The sequence below is a fragment of the Homo sapiens genome, chromosome 2 (genome assembly GCF_000001405.40).
Source record: "Homo sapiens chromosome 2, GRCh38.p14 Primary Assembly".
NCBI lineage: Eukaryota > Metazoa > Chordata > Mammalia > Primates > Hominidae > Homo > Homo sapiens.
In genome coordinates, this window is record NC_000002.12 from 177,177,477 (window position 1) to 177,196,228 (window position 18,752).

Here is an 18,752-nt window from a genome sequence, read left to right on the forward strand (position 1 = left end):
ATATATATATATATATATACACACACACACACACATATATATATACGTGTATATATATACGTATATATGTATATATACGTATATATACATATATATGTATATATGTGTATATATATGTATATATGTATATATGTGTATATATGTATATATGTATATATATATGTATATATATGTATATATATGTGTGTATATATATTTAGTTTAATGATAAAAAAATATTTGGCCTACAAGCATTGGCTGAACTTTGGGGACGACATTCCCAGCGCTCTTCGAATCGCGAAGCAGCGCTGAAACAGCATCGAGGAAGGGCGCATCCACCAGGAGAGCGAGCTGCACTCCTACCTCTCGAGGCTCATTGCGGCAGAGCGTGAGAGGGAGCTCGAAGAGTGCCAACGGAACCATAAGGGTGATGAAGACGACAGCCAGGTCCGGGCCCAGCAGGCCTGCAATGAGGCCAAGCACGTGAGGGTGCCCCCCGCCCACATGACAAATACATGGCGGACATGGATGAGCTCTTCTCTCAGGTGGACGAGAAGAGGAAGAAGTACGACATCCCCAAATACCTGTGCTGTAAGATCAGTTTTGAGCTGATGCGGGAGCTATGCATCACGCCCACTGGCATCTCCTATGACCGCAAGGACATCGAGGAGCACCTGCAGCGCGTGGATCATTTTGACCCTGTGACCTGGAGCCCCCTAACCCAGAAACAGTTCATCCCCAACCTGGCCATGAAGGAGGTCATTGACGCATTCATCTCTGAGAACGGCTGGGTTGAGGACTACTGAGGCACCCAGCCCTGTCGGGCGTCCTGGTCCAGGAGGGCCCTGGGCAGAAGCCCCCAGCCCCTGTACACAGTTTGTGTCCCTGGCCACCCCGCCCGCTTCCCCCCAAGTTCTGCTGTTGGGCTCAGGACTGTTCCCCTCTCTGCATAGCTCTTGCTAGGCCGTGATCCTCCCCGTCCCCTGTTCTGGGCTGGAAAAGCAGGTGAGGGTGGGCTGGGCTGGGGCCACTGCCACCACTGTCTAATAAAATCCGTGAGCATTCAAACATATATATAAATATATATATTATATATATTATATATAATATATAATATATATAAAATATATATTATATATATAAAGGATATATATAATATATATATAAAGGATATATATATAATATATATATAAAGGATATATATAATATATATAAAGGATATATATATATAATATATATAAAGGATATATATATAATATATATATAAAGGATATATATAATATATATAAAGGATATATATATATAAAGGATATATATATATATATATATATATATATATCTCCTTTAAATTGCTCCTTTTTTGAGGGTGTTTAAAGGTAAAGGCATTCTCAGGGAAGACTTAAGGTATGATGGAGACCTTTACCTAATTCCTCACCTAGTGTTGGGGGTGGGATGAAGTCCACTTAGTAAAGCCCTTAACTTTATTTGCATTTCTGTTAGAAAGCTCCCTCCCAGGTGGCAAACTGATCTCAATATTCTCTTCCCTTACAGGCTGGTGAAAAAGCCTGGGGCAGTTTGAGTCATGGATCCCCCATTTTGATTCCTGTTTTGGTGGAAACACAAAGTAACCTAAGGCAGGTAAAGGTAGCACTTTCTCCAGAACTATCCTCAAAATTGATGTTTTGTCTCATTACACACACACACACACACACACACACACACAACCACGATCCAGTAGATATGTGTAAACATGACCCAAGAAGAATGAAAAGAATAATTACAGAACAATGTTAACTTTAAAAAAATCACAAGATATATAAATTTAGAAAGGAGGCTTTATTTTTTGTAAAGAGTGACAGCCTGCAAAGTGGCCATCCTGCAGGCTGGGAAGCACAGCCTCCAGCAAAGACCAGAGACAAACATTCAGAGGGAGTGAGAGGTAAGACAGGAATTTAAGTTTATTGAGTGGCCGAACACACATATTCAATCGGTTGTAGGATGAGCTATGAATATTCATGAAGATAGTCCTGATGCATGCCTACTGAACAAATATGCATGTTACAGATGACCCATGTTTACCTTGGGGTGGAGACTTAACATTTAAATGTATTACAATTAGGACCTATGCATCAAAAGGTCTTGTCAGGACATAAAGACACTCAAGTTGTGCAGCCTCTGTAAACTCACCCGAACCAGTCCTCGATTGGTAGCCTTCCTAACAAGAGAAATTTACTGAGACCAGGCACCTGTAATCTCTCCCAACACTTTGGGAGGCTGAGGCAGGAAAATTGCTTGAACCCAGGAGTTCACAACCAGCCTGGACAACACAGTGAGACTGCTACAAAAAATATAAAAGTTAGCCAGGCATGGTGGGGTGCATCTGTAGCCCCAGCTACTCAGGAAGCTGAAGTGGAAGGATTGATTGAGCCAGAGATGTCCAGGGTGCAGTGAGCCATGATCATGCCACTGCACTCCAGCCTGAGTGACAGAGCAAGACAGCAGAAGCTCTTTAGTTTAATTAGATCCCATTTGTCAATTTTGGCTTTGGTTGCCATTGCTTTTGGTGTTTTAGACATGAAGTCCTTGCCCATGCCTATGTCCTGAATGGTAATGCCTAGGTTTTCTTCTAGGGTTTTTATGGTTTTAGGTCTAACGTTTAAGTCTTTAATCCATCTTGAATTGATTTTTGTATAAGGTGTAAGGAAGGGATCCAGTTTCAGCTTTCTATATACGGCTAGCCAGTTTTCCCAGCACCATTTATTAAATAGGGAATCCTTTCCCCATTGCTTGTTTGTCAAAACATTTTCAAATGATTATACATTGTTCTAAGGGTGAATGCAAAAACCTTGGGAAAATTTTCTTCTTTGAATAAAGTTCACTGTACTTATTCCCACTCTCCAGATACACTGTACCTGTGGCATTTCTCTGTGTACCAGTTTTATTACTGTTGTACTTAATATGTGAGAAATGATTTGTTGTCTAGGAGACACCAATAAAAGCAGAACTTAAGGCATGTATATTTCGAAAGCGAAAAAAGTCAACAGGTTATATATATAGTGTCATAAATATTTATAACATTCATCAATTTCAAAGGCTTCTAGTTATTTGACTTATGCTGTTTGGTTAACGCCTACATTACTATAAATGATCTCAGGATCATGAAAGGCCTTTAAAAAGAGTGTTAGTATATTAATATGACCTGAGGCTTGAAAAAGCATTTCCATTTATGACTCAAAATAGAACATAAAAGAATGCTAAAACACCAATGCTATATTGTACAATTCGGGAGAATAAAGTCAGTGAGATCCTAAGTTCCACAAAGGCAGGGACCCAAATGTGTTTTACTCAATGTTGTATGTGCAGCACTTAGCACTACTGACTGACACAAGGTGAGTAATCGGTTAGTAAATGTTTAGTTAGAATACATGGAAGGGGATATGTTATGGAAAATCAATGGGTGAGCATTTCACAAATTCTAGTATGAATCCCTTTTTACAGTTTTGGCCAAATTTATTACTCTTGCTGTAAATAAGGTCTTTGCATAGAAAATCAAATATTTTAAAATCATGATGATTATTAAGACTGTGTAGTCCTGTGTATATTGTCAGGACTCTTGGTTGCAAATGACAGAAACCCCACTCCGCTTATTTTAGGCAAATAAGGAAAATGTTTTTTGCTCACAAAACTAGATACATATAAAATTCCAGTTTCTGGCCATGTGCAGTGACTCAGGCCCATAATCCTAGCACTTTGGGAGGCTAAGGCGGGCAGATTGCTTGAGTCCAGGAGTTCAAGACTAGGCTGGGCAACATGGCGAAACCCCATCTCTACAAAAAATACAAAAATTAGCTAGGTGTGGTGGCACACACCTATAGTCCCAGCTACTCTGGAGGCTGAGGTGGGAAGATCACTTGAGCCAGGAAGGCAGAGATGGCAGTGAGCCCAGATTGCGCTACTGCACTCCAGCCTGGGTAATGGAGTGAGACCCTGTTTCAAAAAAATAATAATAAAATAAAATTCCAGTTTCCAAGCTGGCTTCAGCATAGCTCTTTCCAGATGCTCAAATGATGTCCTCAGGAATACTTTCTCTCTCTCTCTCTATCTCACTCGCTCTCTCTCTCTAGCTTCCCTTCCTGCATGCTTTCCTTATTAGCTTTATTCTCAGGCAGGTTTTCTGCGTATGATGGGAAATGTGGCCCCTGCAGTTCACAGAGCTCTTATAGGGTCCCTCTTTGAACATCTGTATCAGCTGCCGAAAACATGGTTGGCCCTGTCCATGGTCACAAGCTCATTCTTAGATCAATCTCTGTTTCCAAAAGAGTAGGGTACCATGACTGGCCAACCATAATCACTCAGAGCAAGGGAGAGACAGTTCTCAAAATATAGGCTATGGAACAAACAACTTACATATCTATGAAGCTGTGCAAAGGACTTAAAATATAACACTAAGTTGTTTTAAAGGATGGAGAATCATGTATTTATTAGGATGATATTGTTATTGATTCATAGGTTAGCCAAGTTCAAAATTAAAGTCTTAACTTGTCAAAAGATATTATTCTACTTCCAAAATTATATGTTTTGTAATAAATCTAATTTTCCTGAATTTAAATAAGGAAATCAGAAAATTTCCAAGTCAGAAAAGAGAAGAAATCGTCAATTGCTTGAAAATCAGATCTTTAGAGGCTGGGTGTGGTGGCTCACGCCTGTAATACCAGCACTTTGGGAGGCTGAGGCAGTCGGATCACAAGGTCAGGAGATCGAGACCATCCTGGCTAACACAGCGAAACCCCATCTCTACTAAAAAACACAAAAAATTAGCCGGGTGTGGTGGCAGGCACCTGTAGTCCCAGCTACTTGGGAGGCTGAGGCAGGAGAATGGCATGAACCCGAGAGTTGGAGCTTGCAGTGAGCTGAGATGACAACACTGCACTCCAGCCTGGATGACAAGCACAAGAGACTCTGTCTCAAAAAAAAAAAGAAAAAAAGAAAATCAGATCTTTAGAAAGATAGATTAAAACCAGGAGAGTGTGAAGAGAAAAAAATTTAAGGGTAATCAATGCTAAAGATCTATGATTTTTATACAAATTCTGGGCAAAGGTCAACAGCACAATTAGTTAAACAGATGATTTGTGAGCATTTCCAAAAAAAATTTGATCATTCGCTCAGAATTATTATTGAGGCAAGAATTGCTGTGAAGTCTGATCCATATACCCACCTTGTTAACTCAGAGAAGGAACTCAATAAATACTTGTTTGATTGATCCATACCTTATAGTAGATCATATACAAAATTGCTCTTTTATCCCACAGATCATTTACATTTCTCCTTTAAAAGTTTATCCTCAAACGTCCCAGTATCCTGGCTCACTAAAAAGAAAAAGTTAAGGCATCAAATAGAATAAAATGTAACTTGATTTGTTCTGTTTTGCTTCCTGATTATTTTATAATTAAATTTTATAGAAACTCAAAATGTCAGTGGAGTAATGCATATCTTACATTGGCATGTATTATTTATGCCAAAGCTAATGATTGTTTTAGGACCTGCCCTAGGTAAGATCCTAGGAACACTTGTCTTTGGTACCCCCTTTTTTCCCTTTAGCACCCGTTTCCACCAGAGCTCCCTTTCCCCAAGCTTCTTCTTGATGTTCAGGAATTGCCCTACCCAGGTTTGTCATTCCAACTTTATCCCTGATACTGTCACCTAGAGGCTTCCACCCTCACCAAAACCATCTCGCATTCTGTTTCCTTAGGTGTAGGTGAGTTGAGGGTCTCTGCTTCTTTCTCCTAATTTCATTTCTTGCCTGTGCCCAACCTAACCCCCAAAGAAAAGTGTTGATGATTGGTCTAAGCCAGAGACATTGAATTAGGCCCAGTTTGCTGTCAAGCAGATTCACTGTGTGGTTAAGATGATGCTCCTCTCTCTCTTTCCCATGACACTAGATCAATCAGGAGCCTAATTCAGGTTCCCAGGCATCTCTCTCTCATTATCTTCTTTCATGTGGCCAATCAGATAAGATCTCAAAGCCAGAATTGTCCACAACCTCAAAAGAATCTAAACTTCCTTAGCTTTAATTGGGCCCTTAACCAGAGGTGTCAGGAGAAGGACCTAAGGCTAAACAACTGCCAAAGTGGGGAAAACAAAAGAACTATCTTTATTTTAGGAATGACCTCTTTAGGGCAGCAGTAAAGTAACTTATAAAAAACCCAGTAAAGACTAAAAACAGCCAAATCAACCAGAAAAGTAAAATTTTCTATTTTACCTAGTAATAACAAAGCAAATATTCACAAAAATCTTTCTCTGTAAGGAAGGCAGAAAAGGTGCATGGTTAGTGCTGGCAATTTGTGCTGAGAATGGAGAGGAAGCCACCATACATATATAGATACATAAAAATAATCTACTGAAATTCCTTCATTTAACCTGCAAGATGATGGACTAGTGAACTGAAGGGAAATAAGCAGAGATGGACATTCTGTTACTGGAAAAACTCCATGAAGGTACATGGGAGGGGTAGGGACAGCTGATCTCTGTCACATGGAGCTTAGCTGAGAAACACTATGTGCAAGAATATGCTGCTTTCATGGATATGTTATTATTTTGTAACAGCTGTGGAGATTTTTTGACAGATAAAGTAAATGGGATAAGGAAAAAACATGCAGAGTTTTAACTTGGACTTTGCCTGTGTTTAGCAGCTAGCATTGGTCAAATTACTCAATCCACAACAAGGACAGCAATTATGACTGAGTTGGGAGGAAATGATAATAACTGGTTGTAAAGTACCCTGTTGCCAGATACCAATGTGATCAAGATTTAGTAGTTTTAATTTTTGTTTTTGTGATTATATGTAAATGAAATGTTTCTTAATCTGAAAAAGTTAACAATGTTTCCTCAGCAACGTGATGTTAGCCAGGGGTCCCTGAGTCTTTCTGAGGCTGTCCATGGGAAGACTGCACACAAACCCATTTAAAGGAAGGACATCTTCTTATTCCTACATCCTCATCTGTAATGGCGCCATTATCCACTCACTTGCAGAAACTTCAACTCTTACCTCTCTTTATGCAATCAGTGGTTGACTCCTGTAAACTCTTTCTCTGAAAGCTTCTGTTTCTTATTTTTCCCTACATCTAACGACTCTGCCCCCACCAGTCCTCCTGCCAAATCTATCCCTATCCCACTCCCCACCCCCAATAATGGGGCATGTATAACCAAAATGAAATTATTAATGTATATTTATAAACTTCTTGATGAAAACAGATTTATTTATTTATTTATTTATTTATTTTTTTGAGACAGGGTCTCTCTCTCTTGTCCAGGTGGGAATGCAGTGGCACGATGTCAGCAAAGTGTGGCCTTGACCTCCTGGACTCAAGTGATCCTCCCATCTCAGCCTGTGGAGTATCTGGGACTACAGGCACTTGCCACCATGTGGAGCTAATTTCTTGTATTTTTTGTAGAGATGGGGTATTGCCTTATTGCCCAGGATGGTCTTGAATTCCTGGACTCAAGTCATCTGCCTTCCTCAACTTCCCAAAGTACTAGGATTACAGTCATGTGCCACTGCACCCAGCTAAAACCAGAAACTTTAGACCTGATTTATCAGTTGTCATCTACAGAAACAATGTAGGAGTTTATAAGAATTTTATATTATAAAAAATTCAAGTATGTACAAAAGAAAGAGACTAATGAACCTCTATTACCTATCACCTATATTCCTTCTCCTGTCCACTCCCTTCCCAGCTTTTTTTCTCGGAGTATACTGAGGCAAATTCTTCCATCCAGTACATACCTCATGTACTGACTTTTTGAAATTTTAGTTGCATTCAGGAAAAGAGAGGAGAAATTTGTAGCTGATAGTCTGGGAACACAATCTACCCCCTTAACAATAAGAGTTTTTCATGGAATCTTTAGGAATTTTTTTTAAGTGTTCTATTTTCCTTCCCTTCATAAATTGCTCTTTTAAGTTTCACAATTGTACTGAAATCAATGATTTAAATTCAAGTAAAACTTTTTTTTTTTTTTTTGAGACAGAGTCTCACTCTGTCGCCCAGGCTGGAGTGCAGTGGCGCCATCTCGGCTCACTGCAAGCTCCACCTCCCGGGTTCACGCCATTCTCCTGCCTCAGCCTCCTGAGTAGCTGAGACTACAGTTGCCCGCCATCACGCCCGGCCAATTTTTTGTGTTTTTAGTAGAAATGGAATTTCACCGTGTTAGCCAGGATGGTCTCGATCTCCTGACCTCATGATCCGCCTGCCTCAGGTTCCCAAAGCGCTGGGATTACAGGCATGAGTCACTGCACCTGGCCAAGTAAAGCTTTTTATGCTGAATTGGGAGTTCTCAAATAAGCTGTCCTCAAATAAAATTTTAAAAAAGTTTTTTGAGACAGGGTCTCGCTTTGTCATTCAGACTAGAGTGCAGTTAAACAATCTCGGCTCACTGCAGCCTCAACCTCCCTGCCTCAAGCATCCTGAGTGACTGGGACTACAAGCATGCAGGAACAAAACCAGCTAATTTTTGTATTTTTTGTGGAGACAGGGCTTCGCCATGTTGCCCAGGCTTGTCTCAAACTCCTAAACTCACGCATTCTGCCCACCTCGACCTCCCAAAGTGCTGGGATTACAGGTGTGAGCCATCATGCCCAGCCAAAATTAAATTCTCTAATTTTACTCCCAAACTGTATTAGTCTGTTTTCACGCTGCTAATAAGGACATACCCGAGATTGGGCAATTTACAAAAGAAAGAGGTTTAATGGACTTACAGTTCCACGTGGCTGGGGAGGCCTCACAATCATGACGAGAGGTGAAAGGCATGTCTCACATGGCAGCAGATAAGAGAGCTTGTGCAGGGAAGCTTCCCTTTTTAAAACCATCAGATCTCGTGAGACTTATTCACTATCATGAGAACAGCAGGGGAAAAACCTGCCCCCATGATTCAATTACCTCGCACAGGGTCTCTCCCACAAGTGGGAATTCAAGATGAGATTTGGGTGGGGACACAGCCAAACCAAATCACAGACCAACAAAACTTCACAGATTATATACTGGAACATTGTTGCTGTTTTAAGAAAATGATCAGATTGTGGCTGGGAGCCGTGGCTCATGCCTGTAATCCCAGCACTTTGGGAAGCCTAGGCAGGTGGATCACCTGAGGTCAGGTGTTTGAAATCAGCCTGACCAACATGGTGAAACCCCATCTCTACTAAAAATACAAAAAATTAGTGGGGCCTGGTGGCATGTGCCTGTAATCTCAGCTACTTGGGAGGCTGAGGCAGGAGAATCACTTGAAACCAGGAGGCTGAGGTTGCAATGAGCTGAGATTGTGCCACGGCACTGCAGCCTGGGTGACAGAGTAAGACTCTGTCTGAAAAAAAAAAAAAAGAAAGAAAAAGAAAGTGATCAGATTATGAATCTTCTTTATATCATATAGATTAACCTAGGTTCTATAAATGAGATTTAGAGGATCTGCAGCCCTGTGGGATGCCGTTACGAAGAATCCAGAAATAGTGAGTCCATCACAAGTACCATACGCAATTTCATTTCCACATCTTCACTTGGACTTGAAACTCACCAGGAGCACCTTTCTGTTTCCCCTCTACCAATTCAGGTATTATTCATCCTTTAAAACTCCCTTTGAAAGTTTCATCTCCATCATGAAGTCTTCCTAGATACTTGAGACCTTCATTTATTTCCCCATTTCTCTGCAGCACAGCACTTTAATGTAAACCATGCAAGTCATTACTTATATGTGGTCTCCCTCTAATAACTATATTATGAGGACAGGGGACAGAGAAAATGTCATAACCCCTTTTAGTGTTTTCAAGGCTTTGCATATTGCTGCACCTATACTTGATTAATTATGATATACGGGAGAGTCTTAGGAGTCAAAGGGAAAAGAAATGAAATTTATATCCAAGCACTATAGTGCCTCCAAAATAATATTGAAACAATTATTATTATACATGCCACTTGAAGATACTGATTTAAAAATAGGTCTTTATCAGTTATTCCTAAGGCTACTTGAGTTTGTACCTTACAGTCTCAGAATTTTATCTTTCTCAATTCATATAGTGAGCCTTTTTGCCCAGTTTACTAGAAAACAAATTCTGAGGGAGATTGGGTGCTACTGCTTTATTTGTTTAGGGGTAAGCCTGGGAATGTGAGAGTGAGAAAAAGGGAGATGTGGCAGGAAAGGATGGGAAGCAATGCATGGGTAGGCTACATGAAAAAACTGTTAAGGAGAAGGCAGTCAGGCAACGAGGAGGAAGTGGGGTAATTGATCTGTCACACTCCCAGCATCTCCTATTTCTACAGGCCAAAGTTCATCCCGAGTGTGGTTAACACCCAGCTTTCTGCATTGCATCATCCGGATCCCTCAGCAGTCATTTGGGAAGCCAGATACCATGCTCTCTAGTGTGGTGTTTCATCCAAGTCTCAAGTGATGAAAGGAGACAGAAACTCGAAATGCCTGACTGGCATGGCAGCAGCCAAGAAGGGCCAACATCCTGGATAAGCAACTGGTCAGCCCCTCACAGCAAAACCATGCAGGTCCCAAAGTGGTCAGATAGCTGAGCGCATGGCTGAGACAGCAGCTAGTCCTGTGAGGGCAGAGGGAATCTCAGGAAATGTAGACGATGTCTCTGATAAATATATGCCTGTCATAAAGTTTGGAGAACAGAAAGGCCATCTCTCATTTTCTCTGAGGAGAGTGCTTTCCTTGAATTCTCAAAAGCAGTGTGATACGTTAATTATAGTAATCAAATGGAACACCCCAACTTTCATTCTGTGTGCGTATAACAAGAATCTTTGCTCCCTAAAATGGAATTAGATTATAGTATGTCTGAGATAGAGAGACATTCAGTCTGTCCATCTATCTCATATAAGGGTAACAGTTGGAAATAGATTTTCTAAATTCTATGTAAGACACGATATATAAATAACCTATGGTTTAAATAAAAATTTATTCTATGGCAATCATATAAATTTACCAGAAGATTCAAATATGCAGCTTCCACAAGGAAGTAGGCTAGTGGCAAATTGATCCTTACATGAACCCTAAAAAAGAACAACACATTTCAGTTTCTCTATGCAGTGACAACTTTCTATTCTAGGCCTAGCCCCTTGTGGGGCCCACTCCAGTTCCATCCAGGGAAACAGGTAATATTTACAGGACCTGGGGCATAAGTACAAAAGGAAGCCACTGCCTACAGGCTGGCTCCACCTTCTCTTTTGACCTCCTGCTCACCCACACACCAGAAGGGGCCTCTCAAATATTTGTGAGGACACTCCTGCACATCCATCTAAGGGGTGTGCACATAATGGGAGGGGTGCACCTTAGGGAGGACAGATATTGGAAAGGGATACTGAAGGTTCTGATGCATGTTCCACACTGGGCAAAGAATTCGGGAGTCCCAAAAAGCCACAACAATGTCTACAAGGGGATTATCCTAATAAAAATCACAGAATTGCATATCTTGCTGTAGGCAGTTGAGGGCAATGGACTGACTATACTCTGTTTAGGCCTAGAGGCCTTTCCATGAGTTTCTAGGGACATTGTCAATATTGCTTGTTGATTACTGATGACATACTGATGTTTGGAAGTGAGTGGCTGCATATATCTCTTATGAGAGATCAAAGGTTTTGTTTGTTGTAGAGCAATTTTTGTTATTCTATCAGGTAATCTTGCCAAGGAATTGATTATTGACATTCAATAGCTTATACTGCAGTGCTTATTTTGAGCAGAGAAAAGATAAAATCGAATGGTGTAAAGATGTTAGAAATTGGCCAAGCACTGTGACTCATGCCTATAATTCCAGCACTTTGGGAGGCTGAGGCGGGTAGATCATGAGGTCAGGAGTTCGAGACCAGCCTGGCCAAGATGGTGAAACCCTGTCACTAACAAAAATACAAAAATTAGCCAGGCGTGGTGGTGGGCGCCTGTGATCCCAGCTACTTGGGAGGCTGAGGCAGAGAACTGCTTGAACTTGGGAGGTGGAGGTGGCAGTGAGCCGAGATTGCACCACTGTACTCCAGCCTGGGTGACAGAGTGGGACTCTGTCTCAAAAAAAAAAAAAAGATGTTACGAATTGTACAGTGAGAGATAACTAGGTAATCATTATGGCTTCACCTTAAATTGTGTATTGCAAGATACCTGCTTAGCTTTTCTTGTGGAGGGACAGGTAGGATCTGAGGATTTAGCCAATCTCCCAATCTAATTTCTGAGGAGAGCCCTTGGAAATAACGTAATGTATTCTTCTGACATCATGACATGATATCATATATTATTTTGATTACAACTGATGCTGTTTTGCTCTTCAGTCTGATAGATTTATTGTATCTTGTGAGAAAGTAGCTAGTGGCTTATTTTATACTCCTTAACTCACACATCTAATTAGATGAACAAAACACAATTAATATCTAAATTTCACACCTTTTTTTTTTTTTTTTTTTGAGACGGAGTTTCACTCTTCTTGCCCAGGCTGGAGTGCAATGGTGTGATCTTGGCTCACCGCAACCTCTGCCTCCTGGGTTCACGTGATTCTCCTGCCTCAGCCTCCTGAGTAACTGGGATTATAGGCATGCGCCACCATGCCCGGCTAATTTTGTATTTTTAGTAGAGACGGGATTTCTCCCTGTTGGTCAGGCTGGTCTCGAACTCCTGACCTCAGGGGATCTGCCTGCCTCGGCCTCCCAAAGTGCTGGGATCACAGGCGTGAACCACCGTGCCCAGCCTATTTCACACCAATTTGGAAAGAAAAAAAATCTTTGCTGAAAGCCAGTTCTGAGTCTTTTTTTTTTTTTTGAGACGGAGTCTTGCTCTGTCGCCCAGGCTGGAGTGCAGTGGCATGATCTCGGCTCACTGCAAGCTCTGCCTCCCGGGTTCATGCCATTCTCCTGCCTCAGCCTCCCGAGTAGTTGGGACTACAGGCGCCCGCCACCATGCCCGGCTAATTTTTTGTATTTTTAGTAGAGGCAGGGTTTCACCATGTTAGCCAGGATGGTCTCAATCTCCCGACCTCGTGATCCACCTGTCTCGGCCTCCCAAAGTGCTGGGATTACAGGTGTGAGCCACCGCACCCAGCCAATTTTTTTTTTTTTTTTTTGTGAGACATAGTCTTGCCCTGTTGCCCAGGCTGGAGTGCAGTGGCATGATCTCTGCTCACTGCAACCTCTGCTTCCTGGGTTCAAGTAATTCTCATGCCTCAGCCTCCTGAGTAACTGGGATTACAGGCACTCACCACCACGCCCAGCTAATTTTTTGTATTTTTAGTAGAGACAGGATTTCGCCATGTTGCCCAGGCTGGTCTCAAACTCCTGAGCTTAGGCAATCCACCCACCTCAGCCTCCCAAACTGGTGTGATTACAGGCATGAGCCATGGCGCCTGACTTTCAGTTCTGAGTCTTAAAAGAATTGTCCATTAATTGAAAGAACCAAACAGGAAAAGGGCACAATAATAAATCTATAAGACTTATTCAAGGTCACCAGAAGAGAAAGCAGCTCTTCTACAGGTGCCCAGCATTGCCATCTTAAGCAGTGGCAACTCCATTTGGAGAATTTTACTAAAAATTAAATAGAAAATAAAAGGAGGCCAGGTGTGGTGGCAGGCACCTATAGTCCCAGCTGAGGATGAGGTAGGAGGATCCCTGAGCCCAGGAGTTCAAGGCTGCAGTGAGCTATGATCACATCACTGTACTCCAGCCTGGGCAACATAGTAAGACCCCATCTCTCTATAAAAAAAGAAGAAGAGAAAGAAGAAGACGGACAAGGCCAGAAGGGGAAGAGATTGGTCAACAAGTACAAAGCTTCAGTTAGATATGAGGAATAAGTTCTGGTATTCTATTGCATAGTAGGGAGACTAGCATTAACAATAATGTATGTTTGAGGATAGCTAGAAGACAGGTTTTTGAATGTTCTCATCACAAAAAAATGGTAAATGTTTAAGGTGAAAAATATCTTAAGTACCCTGATTTGATCATTATACAAGATATACATGGATCAAAACATCACATTGTACCTCATAAATATGAATAATTAATATGTATCAGTAATAAATAAATAAAAACACCACAGGTTAGTTGCTTACAGAGTGAGATGTTTATCTCCCACAATCTCTGTCTCTGGCCAGACCCAGCATTCTCTTCCAGTCTTTTATTAGCCATATGATCTTAGGCAAATTACTTAACTTCTCTTACCCAGAGTGTCCTGGTCTCTTAGTGGAGTTAATAAGCCTACCTGTGGTCTATAAAGTAATTAATTGAAACAATGTATGTAAACACTTTTGGCAGCTAGTGGGCTCTTAATCTAATCTAAGTTTCCACACCACCTCTTACCTTCTTTTTTTTTTTTTTTTTTTTGAGACAGAGTCTCGCTCTGTAGCCCAGGCTGGAGTGCAGTGGCATCATCTTGGCTCACTGCAAGCTCCGCTTCCCGGGTTCACGCCATTCTCCTGCCTCAGTCTCCCAAGTAGTTGGGACTACAGGCGCCTGCCACCATGCCTGGCCAATTTTTTTCTATTTTTTAGTAGAGACGGGGTTTCACCATGTTAGCCAGGATGGTCTCGATTTCCTGACCTCGTGATCCACCCGCTTCGACCTCCCAAAGTGCTGGGATTACAGGCGTGAGCCACCGCGCCCGGCCTAATTTTTGTATTTTCAGTAGAGACAGGGTTTCACCATGTTGGCCAGGCTAGTCTTGAACTCCTGACCTCGTGATCCACCTGCCTCGGCCTCCCAAAGTGCTGGGATTACTTTATTTATTTATTTATTTATTTATTTATTTATTTTGTGACAGAGTTTCACTCTTGTCACCCAGTCTGGAGTGCAATGGCACGATCTTGGCTCACTGCAACCTCTGCCTCCCAGGTTCAAGCATTTCTCCTGCCTCAGCCTTCTGAGTAGCTGGGATTACAGGAGCCTGCCACCACGCCCAGCTAATTTTTTGTATTTTTAGTAGATTCGCGGTTTCGCCATGTTGGCCAGGCTGGTCTCAAACTCCTGACCTCAGGTGATCCACCTACCTCGGCCTCCCAAAGTGCTGGGATTACAGGCATGAGCCACTGCGTGCGGTCTCACTTCCTACCTTTTACATATAGATGAAAATGGGAAGACACACTGTTCCTACCTTGTTCATCTTTGTTGCTTAGAAATTCAAACTCACAGTACAGGAAATAGCACAGAATCTAATACTGAAATTGATAGAGAGCCAGGAATGGGAAGAAGGCTGCGCTGTTCTTACCTGAGAAATAGAAATAGGTTTTTAAAGGAATGAGAAGAAATTTTTTAAATTTTAGATATCTACTTTTATATATACTTTTAAAATCTTTTACTATTTAGGAATTTGGCTCTTTGAACAATTTTTAGAAACAATCTTTGCTCCACACATTAAGGGATACTTTAATGACACCTGGGACTTGGCTCACACTATCATGTAAAAAAATGTATTGGCTAGAATGTGATGTTCTTGGCAAGTAAAAGTAGCCTAGTTTCTGTCCAGTTCTTAAAGGTGTGTCATCACTAAAACATAAACAAAACCGAAATGTTTGACAGAGAACTTTAGGCTTGAGGACTTCAGAACACCTATTCCTTATATCTGAGATGGTGCTTTGTTCATGAGAGCACTGTAAATATTTAATGAATATATTATAGATAATGTTCAAAATGTATCATAAAACTTAAGATCTTTTATGAGATTTTCTACAAGAGAAAGTCTCTTGTAGAAAAACCTTAACATCAATGACATATTTAATGTCTATGTATATTTTATGCTCTACTAATTATCAATATAGGAGAATGACCTAGAACTTGGTTTTATTTCATGCAATAAAAACATAAACATGGCCACTTTCTTATTTTATATCTGTGAATATTATGATTCGGTTAATGCAAGTTAAAACAAAAATCTATTCTGTAAAAACAGTCAAGAAATAATTATGGTGTAAGTAAATAAGCCTTCATTGACAAAGATGAGGCCTCATTTGAGTTTCATTTTCTCTTCAGAGGTCAAAAGTAGTCATCCAGAAAGTGCTTCATATTCATCGTCCCAGATTCTTTTTGCCACCTCCGTAGTTTATCAATAATTAGAAGAATAAAATAAAATATGGTATAAGTTAATGAGGGAGTTCTGGACTATGTAATTCCTAAGGTTTCCTCGAGGTCTAATATTTTAAATTCTATTATAATAAAATTTCATAAATAATACATAGAGAGGAGAAAAATATAATCACAGCAACAATGAACTAATTGAAACGCCTGAGGGGTAGAATCCTTTCTGATAATCCAATCAGGCATGGAACTTCATTATTGTAAAGGGAATTATAGTAAATCAAAAGAACTGGAGATCCCTAGAGAATAAGCAACACACTCAAGGTTACATCTCAATCTAGTACTAATTTGTTAAAATGATCACATATCAAGAGAGAAAAACCTTTAATAACTTTACTAGATTTTAATTATCCCTTCTGTTAATGTGAATTGTTTGCTAAGTAGTATTTTTTAATTAGAAGCATAATGACAGTGAATTAAGAAACATAATGACAGAAAGTGGAGTCCAGCTCCATCTCCAGTGAGCTGTGTGGCCTTGCATCACTTACTTCCCTTGTCTGTTCTTCATTTATCTGTAAAATTATGGAATTGAACTAAATGAAGCTATAAAGCCCCTATGAGCTTTAAAACACTCTCATCACCACTAATGAGGTTTTGATCCTTTTGAAAGTTCTAAATATTTTCAAAAGTTTTGGTTTATCAAATGCCTCTCTAGCAGATCTAGGACTATAATTAGAAATTCAGTGCTTATATTTGATTAGTGAAAATAAAGAAAAAGATACACATAGAAACAGGCACATAGTATGAGAAAGTGATAGTCTATTTCTCAACTCCATCCACATTGCAATATTGCTCCGCCAAATTGTTTATTTTAAGCTCTTGCCAACTGAATATCATAAAATCCAGCTAACCTTCTAAGAGAAAATATCAGGGAGTGTAAAAATATAATGATTGTTTTTTATCTTTCATTTCTTTGTTGTTGATGAACAAGATTGATCTTTAACAGCCCTACAACCAAGGTTGACTGAATCAAAGATAGATACTTGAAGTAAAACAAAGTCCGTTACTGGCTTTCCCACATGAAATCATATTCTCTCCATCTTCCTCCACTCTCCCAGTCTCCTTCTCCCGCTGTCCCTCTTTCTCAAGATTTTAAACAGATACCTAAAGCCTGAAGGTAGTTATGCTAAAGGGTCACAAAGACTTGCAGTCTGTTTGCCATTTTAAAAACAGTGCCTCAATCTGCCAACTAAATGAAAGAGGAAAATGGAGTAAATGTGCTAAGAGAAAGGAAAAGGAGACACCAGTTGGCCCCAGAAAGACAAAAAAAGGGAGAATACAGATTTCTTGGTCCCTGACAACTTCAGTGTACAGGCTTATTTCTCATGAAGGCTGACAGTATTTGATTTTAATTACCAAAATTATTGTATATCCCCATCTCCTTTATTTGAACTAATGTGGGTAGATTTCTATTCCTTACTCACAAAAAGAGCTGAGGCTGGTCCGAAGGAAGTGAGTTACCTCAGTTGATGGGTCACAGTCAGTTACAGATCAACCTCCTTGTTCTACTCTTTCCCCTCATCTGACTATTGTATTTCACTAGTCTTTAAAAAAAAAAAAAAAAAGAGCTGAGACTAAAATGGCTGGAAATATATTCCAAAGATTGCCTGTAGAGCTGCAATGATCTATGACAGCCAGCGAGTAGAAAGCAGCACTTGAAAAGACTTCATGGAAATGTCTAAGGTCTTGGTTTACAAGGCTTTATGTTGCTAGATTACTGGGAACAATGATATTAGTGCCTATCCTGGAATTAATCAACCTAAAACGCTTCATGAGAGGCAAATGGGAAACCCAGGGGCATTGGAGGCTCTGATTCAGTGCAGTAGTAGGCACCCACCTGCTGGAGGTGTGCTAACACACTCCATCAACTACACCATGTAACTCTTATTTTACCCTTCAGTAAATAGCAGTACTCATTGAAAGAAAGTCAGTTTTCTAAATTTTAGAAACTTAACTCATATTAACTGATAATATGATATCTGTTTTATGATACAGTCCTAATTTCAAGTTATACCATGGGGTCAGTTTGTTACTTATTAGCTCTAGATTAAGGAATGTGTAATTTCAAAACTGATAAATCAAAGTCATTTGTCAGCCAAAAAGAGAAAAAACTCAAAGTTTCCATTTGAGGCCAGCACAGTGGCTGACGCCTGTAATCCTAGCACTTTGGGAGGCCGAGGTGGGTAGATCACTTGAGGTCAGGTGTCCGAGACCAGCCTGGCCAATATGGTGAAATCCTGTCTCTACTAAAAATATAAAAATTAGCCAGGCATAGCGGCATGCACCTGTAGTCCCAGCTACTCAGAAGGCTGAGGCAGGAGAATTGCTTGAACCTGGGAGATGGAGGTTGCAGTGAGCCAAGATTGCGCCACTCCACTCCAGCCTGGGCAACAGAGTGAGACTCTGTCTCAAAAAATATATAAAATATTATTTCAATTTGGAGGAACAAAATGTGTGATAACTCTCCCTCAGATACATGGAATCAAGTGTTTTGAATGTTCTGAACATGTGAGCACACTCTGAGAGACTCGATGCTAAATGATTTTTTATTAGGATGCTTGGGTCCCTGACTAGGTGTATTTGAACTTTCCTTCTCCTCTCCCCCCAACAAAAAACATTTTTATTGCTTTATTATTTAATAATAGTATTTTCAGCTTTTGCAATTGTCTTGTACCTAATAAC

General features: G+C 40.4%; 1 pseudogene, besides 1 other annotated feature; it reads left to right on the forward strand.

Moving 5' to 3' along the window:
• STUB1P1 (STUB1 pseudogene 1) lies at positions 221–982 on the forward strand (annotated as a pseudogene).
• Positions 9,550–10,749: an enhancer, noted in NCBI's record as "BRD4-independent group 4 enhancer chr2:178051754-178052953 (GRCh37/hg19 assembly coordinates)". NCBI's record gives its function as "activates an origin of replication core promoter dependent on BRD2, P300/CBP, MED14 and CDK7 cofactors, and independent of BRD4, by STARR-seq in HCT116 cells {active_cell/tissue: HCT116}" and the evidence as "EXISTENCE:reporter gene assay evidence [ECO:0000049][PMID:35650434]".